This window comes from Homo sapiens, chromosome 4 (assembly GCF_000001405.40).
Source record: "Homo sapiens chromosome 4, GRCh38.p14 Primary Assembly".
Classification (NCBI taxonomy): domain Eukaryota; kingdom Metazoa; phylum Chordata; class Mammalia; order Primates; family Hominidae; genus Homo; species Homo sapiens.
Window position 1 is genome coordinate 2,925,803 of NC_000004.12, and position 9,743 is coordinate 2,935,545.

At 61.7% G+C, this 9,743-nt stretch overlaps 2 protein-coding genes across 30 annotated transcripts in view, besides 10 other annotated features; one reads left to right on the forward strand and one right to left on the reverse strand.

Annotated features, from left to right (window-relative positions):
- Positions 1–4,260, forward strand: part of ADD1 (adducin 1) — an 86,219-nt gene extending 81,959 nt beyond the window's left edge. For 15 of the 24 annotated variants that reach the window (NM_001354754.2, NM_001354761.2, NM_014189.4 and 12 more), the window contains 2 exons: positions 212–310; positions 2,369–4,260. In NM_001354754.2, coding sequence (NP_001341683.1) covers positions 212–310; positions 2,369–2,721 — 452 coding nt within the window. In that variant the 3' untranslated portion in view covers positions 2,722–4,260. Of the gene's footprint in view, positions 1–211; positions 311–839; positions 874–2,368 lie in introns of all 24 variants that reach the window. The other 9 variants (NM_001354757.2, NM_001354762.2, NM_176801.3 and 6 more) reach the window with 1 other exon arrangement.
- Positions 348–863: an enhancer, noted in NCBI's record as "H3K4me1 hESC enhancer chr4:2927877-2928392 (GRCh37/hg19 assembly coordinates)". NCBI's record gives its function as "activates a minimal SCP1, AML or CMV promoter by ChIP-STARR-seq in naive H9 embryonic stem cells {active_cell/tissue: H9 hESC(naive)}" and the evidence as "EXISTENCE:reporter gene assay evidence [ECO:0000049][PMID:30033119]".
- On the reverse strand, positions 4,765–9,023 carry SLC75A1 (solute carrier family 75 member 1). 6 transcript variants are annotated; one of them, NM_001146069.2, is made up of 13 exons: positions 8,967–9,023; positions 7,951–8,142; positions 7,765–7,861; positions 7,304–7,407; positions 6,798–6,956; positions 6,549–6,710; positions 6,243–6,351; positions 6,023–6,134; positions 5,753–5,861; positions 5,573–5,663; positions 5,425–5,472; positions 5,259–5,348; positions 4,765–5,151 (listed from the first exon to the last, which is right to left on the reverse strand). In NM_001146069.2, exons 2-13 carry the CDS (start codon positions 8,119–8,121, stop codon positions 5,036–5,038), a joined length of 1,368 nt encoding a protein of 455 aa, NP_001139541.1. In that variant the 5' UTR covers positions 8,122–8,142; positions 8,967–9,023; the 3' UTR covers positions 4,765–5,035. The 6 variants fall into 6 exon arrangements, with proteins under 6 accessions (NP_001139541.1, NP_001350608.1, NP_001397632.1 ...); NM_001363679.2 differs by lacking the exon at positions 5,753–5,861; NM_001410703.1 differs by having other exon boundaries at positions 4,765–5,348.
- Positions 6,004–6,073: an enhancer, noted in NCBI's record as "active region_21199". NCBI's record gives its function as "activates an Ori minimal core promoter by ATAC-STARR-seq in GM12878 lymphoblastoid cells {active_cell/tissue: GM12878}" and the evidence as "EXISTENCE:reporter gene assay evidence [ECO:0000049][PMID:35858748]".
- Positions 6,494–6,543: an enhancer, noted in NCBI's record as "active region_21200". NCBI's record gives its function as "activates an Ori minimal core promoter by ATAC-STARR-seq in GM12878 lymphoblastoid cells {active_cell/tissue: GM12878}" and the evidence as "EXISTENCE:reporter gene assay evidence [ECO:0000049][PMID:35858748]".
- Positions 7,264–7,493: an enhancer, noted in NCBI's record as "active region_21201". NCBI's record gives its function as "activates an Ori minimal core promoter by ATAC-STARR-seq in GM12878 lymphoblastoid cells {active_cell/tissue: GM12878}" and the evidence as "EXISTENCE:reporter gene assay evidence [ECO:0000049][PMID:35858748]".
- Positions 7,514–7,643: an enhancer, noted in NCBI's record as "active region_21202". NCBI's record gives its function as "activates an Ori minimal core promoter by ATAC-STARR-seq in GM12878 lymphoblastoid cells {active_cell/tissue: GM12878}" and the evidence as "EXISTENCE:reporter gene assay evidence [ECO:0000049][PMID:35858748]".
- Positions 7,736–8,603: an enhancer, noted in NCBI's record as "H3K27ac-H3K4me1 hESC enhancer chr4:2935265-2936132 (GRCh37/hg19 assembly coordinates)". NCBI's record gives its function as "activates a minimal SCP1, AML or CMV promoter by ChIP-STARR-seq in naive H9 embryonic stem cells {active_cell/tissue: H9 hESC(naive)}" and the evidence as "EXISTENCE:reporter gene assay evidence [ECO:0000049][PMID:30033119]".
- Positions 7,736–8,663: a biological region, named in NCBI's record as "H3K27ac-H3K4me1 hESC enhancer GRCh37_chr4:2935265-2936132".
- Positions 8,444–8,663: a silencer, noted in NCBI's record as "silent region_15192". NCBI's record gives its function as "represses an Ori minimal core promoter by ATAC-STARR-seq in GM12878 lymphoblastoid cells {active_cell/tissue: GM12878}" and the evidence as "EXISTENCE:reporter gene assay evidence [ECO:0000049][PMID:35858748]".
- Positions 8,893–9,202: a silencer, noted in NCBI's record as "silent region_15193". NCBI's record gives its function as "represses an Ori minimal core promoter by ATAC-STARR-seq in GM12878 lymphoblastoid cells {active_cell/tissue: GM12878}" and the evidence as "EXISTENCE:reporter gene assay evidence [ECO:0000049][PMID:35858748]".
- Positions 9,363–9,472: a silencer, noted in NCBI's record as "silent region_15194". NCBI's record gives its function as "represses an Ori minimal core promoter by ATAC-STARR-seq in GM12878 lymphoblastoid cells {active_cell/tissue: GM12878}" and the evidence as "EXISTENCE:reporter gene assay evidence [ECO:0000049][PMID:35858748]".

A 9,743-nucleotide genomic window follows, 5' to 3' on the forward strand; every position in this document is an offset into this window, starting at 1 on the left:
AAGTTGGTTAAGTTTCTCTGAAATTCGCATCAGTCAACACCCAGGTCACAGCTTCCTTTATCCTCTCTTGGAGAGGATCAGGGAAAGGGTTGAGAGAGCCCTGCCTTCTCAGAGGGCGGCCGAGCGGGCTGCCCCATCTGCCATGGAGGCAGGTACAGGCTCATGGCGTGGCGTCCACAGCTCCTACCATATCCTTCTTGCTTCTCTGCAGAGAATCTGGACGAGGCTAGAGAACAGAAAGAAAAGAGTCCTCCAGACCAGCCTGCGGTCCCCCACCCGCCTCCCAGCACTCCCATCAAGCTGGAGGAAGGTGAGCTCTGGGTGGCAGCGGCCGCCACTGTGGGAGGGTGCACGGCTCGTGCGCGCTGTGGCGGAATGTGGCGGGAGTCGTGTTAACAGCAACACGGAAGTGTGTGCTTGCATCAGCGCCAGGACGTGACACCTTTCTCCTCCTATATTGCTTCTGTCCTGGGTAACTCCAGGCAAAACAGATTTGTATGTGAGCTGTGACCAGGTAGGAAGGCCGGCCTCGGGGGTCGGAACCCACCATGGTTGCTGGTGTCCACGTTGCCCATTGCTCGCACACTCCTCGTGCCGTGTTGTCATGCAGATGCCACCTTCGGAGGTGCCCTCCGCTGTGTGAGCCACACGCCGGCTGCCTCTCAGCCACCGTGTGTCTGTGGTGTGTGATCCCGGGTGTCTGTCCCTCGGTCTCGTACATCCATGTCTCTCGTGAAGCCCGTGGCCCTGCCTTTCTTCTTCTGTAACCTGATGGCTGTGACTGAATGCATAGATTCTCTCCTTGTGCTTTTTTCTCCCTGTGGCTGCGTCACAAGCAGGAGACGGATGCGCTAGAGAGTACCTGTTACCCTAGTAAGTACCGTGCTGCCTCCGCTCTCCACCGGTGCCCTGCGCTTTGCCTCATTCTCCTGCTTCTTTGTTGTTTATTAAGTTTTGTTTTCTGTTTATTTAAAATAAAAACAGAAGCCCCCCTTTTTTGTACCCAGTCCCTTGGAGGCCTTCCTGGAAGTGGTTCAGTCACCTGAGTGCTGTGCTGCCTTCAGCGGCAGCGGGTACCTCCACGCACCTAGGTGCCATGGAGCACTCTGGGCCTCAGGAGTTCCTACCTCCAGCCTTTGAGGGTCTCTTTGGATTGCTTGGTGGGAGGGTTTTGCCACACTGGATCAGATGTAAGTGCAGCCTCGGTTCAGACAGGGTGGGGTTCTGCCACCTGCCGTGTGGGGTCAGATTGCCTTGGACCTTTGCTGAAGCTGGTCCAAAGGAGGTGGGCAGAGGAGCGGATATTGGACCCTCGTAAAGCAGTGTGATGTTCACTCAGATGATGGCAGCTCTCCAGAGCGAGTGCCCTGGGGCAGCCTCCGTCCTAGCATCAGCCACACCATGCCCAGCAGAGCGGGCCCCATCTCCTCAGGGGGAGCGGCGCCTGTGTGCCCATAGCCCTTTCCCGGTTCTCATGAAGCGTGGCCTGGAATTAGCCTGGGGCAGCTGGCAGGGTGGGGGTGCTTCCAGCTTCCCAAAGGTAAAGCACTGAGAGTTTGGGGCCTGGGCCTCCTGTGCTGCTCCTAACCACTCAGCTGACTCCCCTGGCCCTGATGTGTGGCTTGATTTTTAAACACTAAACAGCTTGTGGTGCCTAACCTGTCAGTTGCTGGTAACTTTGTAGGCCGTTTACGAATGGACAGAGCGGGTGCCCGGGTAAGTGCAAGGAAGGCGCCCCCAGGCTGTGTCCTCAGGGCCGCTGTGCTCCTTCACAGATGGCCACTCCTGATGCTGGGTGGAGTTTTTGCCCCCACTCCTTGCCTTACAGGCCATCTCTTTCCTTTTAATTAACTTCCAGCCTAAACGGCTTTGTTCTTTTGGATGTTGACGTCACACAACGTGCTGTGGGAGTTATGCACGATTTTCTACTGGCTGTTTTGGGGGAGACCAGGTGTTGTAGACCCAAATTTAGACTTAATTTCAGTACTACTAGTACATGCCCTTAGGGTGACAGGGCAGACTTCTCGTCACATAATGAAAGCGGGACGTCGCTCCTTTAGTCGTCCTCAGCTTGTGCTGCAGTCTGTCTTTCCGGCGGGGGGACCCAGGCCTGGGACGGAGTCTGGTGTTGTCAGCACACTGCCCACCAGAAGGAGCTAAAAACTACCCCGAGACTGAGTCTGTATTTTATGATATTAGCTCCATCCAGCCGTACAGTAGAGTAGACCATATTTTAAGTTTCTTGTCTTGGTAAAAATCTGTAGAGTAAAATAAAATGGCAGTTTCGTGTGTGGGGCTCCCCCATCTCAAGCTGCCCTTTGAGATCTGGGCAGGAACCCTTAATCCCATCTCTCACCTCACCCACTAGACCTTGTGCCGGAGCCGACTACTGGAGATGACAGTGATGCTGCCACCTTTAAGCCAACTCTCCCCGATCTGTCCCCTGATGAACCTTCAGAAGCACTCGGCTTCCCAATGTTAGAGAAGGAGGAGGAAGCCCATAGACCCCCAAGCCCCACTGAGGCCCCTACTGAGGCCAGCCCCGAGCCAGCCCCAGACCCAGCCCCGGTGGCTGAAGAGGCTGCCCCCTCAGCTGTCGAGGAGGGGGCCGCCGCGGACCCTGGCAGCGATGGGTCTCCAGGCAAGTCCCCGTCCAAAAAGAAGAAGAAGTTCCGTACCCCGTCCTTTCTGAAGAAGAGCAAGAAGAAGAGTGACTCCTGAAAGCCCTGCGCTAACACTGTCCTGTCCGGAGCGACCCTGGCTCTGCCAGCGTCCCCGGCCACGTCTGTGCTCTGTCCTTGTGTAATGGAATGCAAAAAAGCCAAGCCCTCCGCCTAGAGGTCCCCTCACGTGACCAGCCCCGTGTAGCCCCGGGCTGACCCAGTGTGTGCTCAGCAGCCCCACCCCACCCTGCCCCTTGTCCTCTCAGAGCCTCAGCTTCTGGGGGAGACATGCTCTCCCCACAGGGGGGAGGCACTAAGTCATGGTCCTGGCTGGAAGGTACTGAAGGCTTCTGCAGCTTTGGCTGCACGTCACCCTCCTGAGCCTCACCTTTCCTGCCGTCCCTCCTGTTGTGAAATCACCACATTCTGTCTCTGCTTGGCTTCCCCTCCACCCTAAAGTCTCAGGTGACGGACTCAGACTCCTGGCTTCATGTGGCATTCTCTCTGCTCAGTGATCTCACTTAAATCTATATACAAAGCCTTGGTCCCGTGAAAACACTCGTGTGCCCACCAGCGGCCTTGAAGAGGCAGGTCTGGGCCAGATGCTGGGCAGGAAACCCCAGCGGCAGATGGGCCTGTGTGCACCCAACGTGATGCTATGCATGTCTGACCGACGATCCCTCGACCAGAATCAGATTCAGGAGCTCAGTTTCTTTTTCACTTGGGTCTCTGGATTCCTGTCATAGGGAAGGTATATCAGGAGGGGAAGAGGCCTTTCTAGAATTTTCTTTGAGCAGGTTTACAATTTAGCTTACATTTTTCGACTGTGAACGTGAATAGGCTGCTTTTTGCTTTCTTCTTTCCAGACCCCACAGTAGAGCACTTTTCACTTATTTGGGGGAGGCTTCAGGGGACTGTTCTCACCTTAACTCAGCCAGAAAGATGCCCTAGTTGTGATCAAAGGTAACTCGAGGTGGAGGGTAGCCCTGGGGCCCCTCGACATCACCGTCATTGATGGAGCCTGAACCGTGTGCTCCTCGGCAGATGCTGTTGTTGTTACTTCCCTCCAAGAGGCTGGAAAAGGGCTCAGAGCTGCTGAGCAGGAACCGGAGGGTGACCCATTTCAGGAGGTGCCGGTACCAGCCTGACTAGGTACAGGCAAGCTTGTGTGGGCCCAACAGGCCCTTGGTAGAGCTGGTGCCAGATGTGGGCTCAGATCCTGGGCATGATGGGCCGAGCCACCTCGGATCCCACTGATTGGCCAGCCGAGCGAGAACCAGGCTGCTGCATGGCACTGACCGCCGCTTCCAGCTTCCTCTGAGCCGCAGGGCCTGCTACGCGGGCAAGCGTGCTGCCTCTCTTCTGTGTCGTTTTGTTGCCAAGGCAGAATGAAAAGTCCTTAACCGTGGACTCTTCCTTTATCCCCTCCTTTACCCCACATATGCAATGACTTTTAATTTTCACTTTTGTAGTTTAATCCTTTGTATTACAACATGAAATATAGTTGCATATATGGACACCGACTTGGGAGGACAGGTCCTGAATGTCCTTTCTCCAGTGTAACATGTTTTACTCACAAATAAAATTCTTTCAGCAAGTTCCTTGTCTAAATCTGGGAAGCAGTTTTATATTTTAATTTCTTTGTTCCCATGTTTGTCTCGTGCTGAAAAGAGACCTCCTAATGTTCATGTCTTGATAAAATGTCACCTGCAGCCACGCGTGCGGCAGGACGTGCCACCCAGCACTCCTGGTGTCCCTCTCCACGGGAACTCAGGGTGTCCAGGGAACTGCTGGCCTGTCCTTGTCCCCATGGTCCCAGTCTCACTGTCACTGTGTGCTCATGTTTGATGGGGAGGGCTCTGTGCTGGGGACATCCTGCCAGGGTGCGGGGCACACTGCCAGATACCACCTGGCCAGGGCTGACCCCAGCCTTGGAGGAGCCTGCCTGAGTGAGTCCCCAGGCTGCCACTGTGCAGAGGGGGAAACTGAGGGTCTCAAAGAGCCTTGGACCCTTCCGGTCAGTGGAGCCATTCATTCAGCTCCAGCTGCCTTTCCTGGTGTGGGTAGAAGCACGGCTATATATGGCGAAAGGCACTTGGTATAAAACAAACAGGTGCTTTATTTCATCATCAGAAACCTGGTGCATAGTTTAAAAAACAAACAGAAGCCCTGACAGCCTTGGAGTGCTGCAGCTCGGAGTCACTGAAGGAGTAAGTAAGTCTGGAGGAGCTGCCTGAGCTTCCTGCTTAGGGGCCGGCCCCCACCCACAGGGTCTCCCTGGACTGGCGGGGGGTGGGGGTCAGGCAGTGGGCAGGGGCCTGACCTAGGCTCCCACTCTGCCTGGTGCCCACAGCCTGGGCACAGTGGCTCAGCTACTCAGCCTTGAGCGTCTGTGCCGGGTAACTCAGCTTCTGCAGGAGGAAGAAGGGGAGCAAAAAGAGCCCGGACCACGTGGTGAAGCAGGCCTGGGCCCCGGCCAGCCAGTACACTGCGGAGAGACGGTGGCGTCACCCAGTCCCCGAGGGGGCTGGCACTTGGGAGGCGAGGGCAGGTGCTTGGCCCCCAGCCTGCCCCAGCACCATCCCGCGCCCTCACCTGAAGCGGCCACCAGGGGCCCCGCGGCCCTGGCCAGAGCACCTAGGCTGCGCAGTGTACCCATGACCGTGCCCTTCTGCCCTGGTGAGCCTGTGGGAAGAGGCACAGTCAGGCACCACTGCCCTTCTCCCGCTCAGGTGGCTTCGGCCGAGGGAAGGGGGCTCACCATAGCCAGCGACCACGGAGGACAGGCAGGGCACCACAACGGCGGCGGCTGGTGGGAGACATCGAGGAGGTGCCCGTCAGCCCAGGGGAGGGTGCATCACCCAGCCCCTGCTGCCCATCGGATCCCCTGCCAGGGCAGGGCCACTCACCAAAGGAGTAGAGCAGCAGCCCCAGGCCCAGCACGGGCAGAGAACGTCCCCAGCCGATGAGGAGGAAGGCGGGCACCAGCAGCAGGAGGGCCTGCAGGTGGGCACGGCAGCCTCAGCACAGCCCGTGCCCTGCAGGACTCAGGGGACTGCCTGCCACCCGCTTTGGAGGGAGCCCCCTACCCGCTTCACGGCAGCAACTTCCCCGCCAGGGTGGATCCGCCGGGCATAGGCACCCTGGATGGTGGCCATGGTGAGGCCGATGAGGAAAAACATCTTCCCCTGCTGTAGGCTGGGAGCGGGTGTGTTAGTGCAGGGCACCCGGGGCAGGGCCACCCAGGGCAGGGCCAGGGCGAGAGTGGCTGCCAAGGCTTCCTGGGGATGGGGGTTGCTTCCCTGAAGCAGGGGCGTTATTTCAGGGAGACAGCAGGCCGTCGCCAGATGGGGACCCACCTACTGAACTGGAAGCGCTGGTGTGTGAGGAAGCTCAGCGTGTACTCCAGGCCCGAGAACAGGAAGAGGTAGAGGAAGTAGACTAGGCCCAGGCGGCGCAGGCTGCTGAGCCCTGGGGAGAGGTGGCGCGTGCTGAGAAGGCGACCACAGCAGGGAAGGGCGCCGCCCGGGGAAGCCCAGGGGAGAGCAGGCTCCACGCTTGGGTTGGTCGAGTCCTTACTGTCTCCAGAGGGTGGGTCCTGGCCACGAGCGACAGCCGAGAAGCGCAGCAGGGCCAGGGGGCTGAGCAGATCAGCCGCATCACGGAACCCCAGGGCGATAGAGGGCGCCTGTGGGGATGGCATTGGAGAGCCTGCAGGAGCGGCTGCTGGCCTGGCAACCCACGGACTGTGGCCTCAAGGGTCCCAACACCAAGAGAGCGGCCCAGCCTCCCTGGCATCTGGGGCTGGCACACAGGGGCACTTTACATCGCTATGGAATCAAGCCTCCAGCCCCTAGGCCTGTGGGTCCCAGACCACAGCCCTACCCGTTTCTCCAGGGGCAGCGTCTCTGGCAGGAAGCAGAAGATGAACAGCAGGTCGGAGGCTGCGAAGAGCAGGGCAAACCAGGGTGCCATTTCCAGGGGCAGGGAGGCTCCGAGCATAGGGCCCAGGGTGAAGCCCAGTGAGAAGGCCACCCCAATGACCGCCTAGGGAAAAGACCACCCGAGCTGCACAGGGAGACCCAGGCCCAGAAGTCACCACCAGGACCCCAAAGGCCCAGCCTGTGCACTTACCATGCCTTGACTGCGGGCCAGAGGCGAGCCCAGGTCAGCAACGATGGCCGTGGAGAGGCTGACGTTCCCTTTGCTGATGCCCCCAATCAGCCTGGAGGCCAGGAAGGCCGCAAAGCTCCGAGAGGTGGCCCAGACTGCATATGAGGTGGCCACACCCATCTGCCCAGGGGCAGGGGCCAAGAGGCAGGGGCGGTCGCTTAAGGCCAGGAGTGGCTCAGAGTAGGGCTTGGCAACCCAGACAACACCCCTCAACCCTGCCCTATTTCGAAGCATCTGAGGGCCACTTGCGTTCTCAGTGCCTTCCTAGGGGCCAGGAGCAGCTCCTTGAAAGCCTGGCTCTGGAACAGGAGCCACTGGTCCCCCGAGAACCCCCTCCAGGATGCGATGAGGGCCAACCAGTGGCCATGAGGGGCCCACAGCCACCTCCCTCTCCCCACCTAACCCCATGGGGCTACTGGCTGGGTGGGAGGAGGCTTCCCCATGGGCACCCAGGCCCAGGAACATACCAGGCACAGCAGCATCACCGGGCGCCTCCCCAAGCAGTCAGAGGTGGCCCCAGTGAGTGGCGCACACAGAAACTGCAGGACAGAGAATGCCGAGCCAATGAGACCTGAGAGACAGATGTCACCATCATGGGGCTGCCTGGCACCATGAGCTGTGGTCTTGGGGCCCTCAAGGCCAATGTCCAGCCCCGTCCTGAGGGTCCAGTCATGCTGGGCCCTACACTCACAGGCCATGGCCCTTGAGCCGAGGGGGCCCCAATGGAGAGATGAGGAAGGATCTGAACGTGACACGCGGAGGCAAGGGATCATGCCCAGAAGCCAGGACATGTGGGCAAGGGCACCAGACATGCCAGCCCAGGGAGTGGGAAGGCAAGGACCGAGAATTGGGGAGGGGCCTGGGCTGGACCACGTCCACCAAACATAGGACCGTAGAGAGCCCGCCAAGGGCACAGAGCCAGCCATACCTCCGAACAGGACACTGTTGTACCTCTTCTCCACTGGCATCCCGATGGCGGTGGCAAACCAGTCCACCCCGCCCTGCCAGGAGCCATAGAGGGGGTCCTAGGGGATGAGGAATCACGATAAGGGCTGGGGAGGTCTGATGGGCCTGGGGGGCAGGGGGCACTGTGGGCCGCAGGGCAAGGACTCACGTGGGCACGGCCGTGGCTCTCCAACAGCCCGGGCAGCAGGGGCAGCAGCAGCGTGAAGGCCAGGAGGTCCAGCAGGAGGCCGAGAAAGACAACGGTGACCACGCGGCGCTCCGGCGGCTGCTGGTGGATGGGTGGGCGCGGGGTGCAGCCTCCACCCCCTCCCCATCCCATGGTGGGCTGCTCTGACCTGGCCTGGGTGGGGTGCGGCGGGTCGGGTTAGCGGGGAAGCCGAGTCCTCCGGGGCCTGGCATACCCCCACACCCGACAGCCGGCGAGCACCCTAAAGGGGCTGATGGCAGGGGCTCTGGCCTACGGACGCAGGGGCCGTTCTGGCCTGCGCGATGCCCCCGCCCCGAACCCAGGCAGCAGGAAACGCAGGCTTCGGGGATTGCACAAAAAATAGCCGCAAAGGCAACGGTCCTGAGAGACCAGGGTGAGCACATCGCGGACCTGGCCCCACCCCACCCCACGGCCGCGCCTCCCACGCCCTCGTAACAGCGAGAGAAAACTTGAAGCCGCGGGGAACCCGGATCCCGATCCCGATCCCGATCCCGATCCCAACCCCAACCCCAGCCCCGGCCCGCGCCCCGCGATTCCGGCCCCTGGCCCGGACTCGGTCTCCCTGGCGGGGGCCATGGGGTGCACACCGGACGCAGGAGCACCCCCAACCCCGCGCGCCTCCCACTCCGCCATCCCGCGTGCGTCCCGGTCCCGCCCCCACCCCGCGCGCCCCCGGTCCCGCCCCCCACCCTGCGCGTCCCCGGTCCCGTCCCCCACCCTGCGCGCCCTCTAACCCCCACGCCGCGCGCCTCCCACCGCCCCCACCCCGCGCGCCCCTGGTCCAGCCCCACACCCCGCGCGCCCCCTACTCCCCTACCCTGCGCACCTCTCACCCGCCCCACCCCCGCGTACCCCGGGTCCCGTCTCCTCCCCCACCCCGCGCGTCCCCTGTCCCACCCCCAACCCGAGCGCCCCCTACGCCCCCCACCCCGGGCGCCCCCGGTCCCGCCCCGCACCTGCCGCGGCTGCGCGCTCGGGACGGACGGTCGCACAGACGCGGAACAGGGCACCAGGCACGCCGCCAGGGGCGGGACGGCCACGCCCGGCCACGCCACGCCCCGGAAGTGACGTACATCTCTGCACGTTCTCTTCCGGCCGGAGTCAGTGGCGGGGTTCTCGCCGGTCCTGCGGGTCGCTGCTTGGCTGTGGGTTAGCAGCACCCTGAGCGGAGCGGAAGAGCTGCCCGCCGCCGCGTAACCCCGAGGCCGAGACTCCTGGCCTGGCCTCCTTGGGCCCACGACGCCTGCCCCGCGGAGCGGACCCATGGGCCTGAGGTTTGTGTGCGGGGCCTCAGGCGAGCGCTGGCGCAGCCTGTCCCCCATCGTCTGCGCCCTGCGGGCCTGGCCCTCCCCGTGGAAGGACCGCGGGCTTCGGGGCCCCACGCTGGGGGGCTGACTCCTGCCACACACACAGCGGTGGCCGCGGGCCTGGGGCGGCAGCACAGCCATTCTGCTCGGGCTGCGTGAGCTGACCCCGCTCTCTGTGCACCTACTTTTGCTGCGTTTGGTGCTGAGCCTGAAGTCCCAGGACAGGCGGCTGAGGGGGAAAGATGGTGTGAATTGGGTGGGCAGAGACAACTGAAAGCCACAGGACCCGGTTGGCACCTTTTTGGCCGCCTGCGCCTTTGCCTGCAGCCCCGCTCCCTGGGTCACCCGAAGGAGGAGCTGGCGCTCTTTCCGGGCGCAGAAGCACCCGACCCACGCTGGAGGAAACGGTCCCTCTGGGCAGGAGAA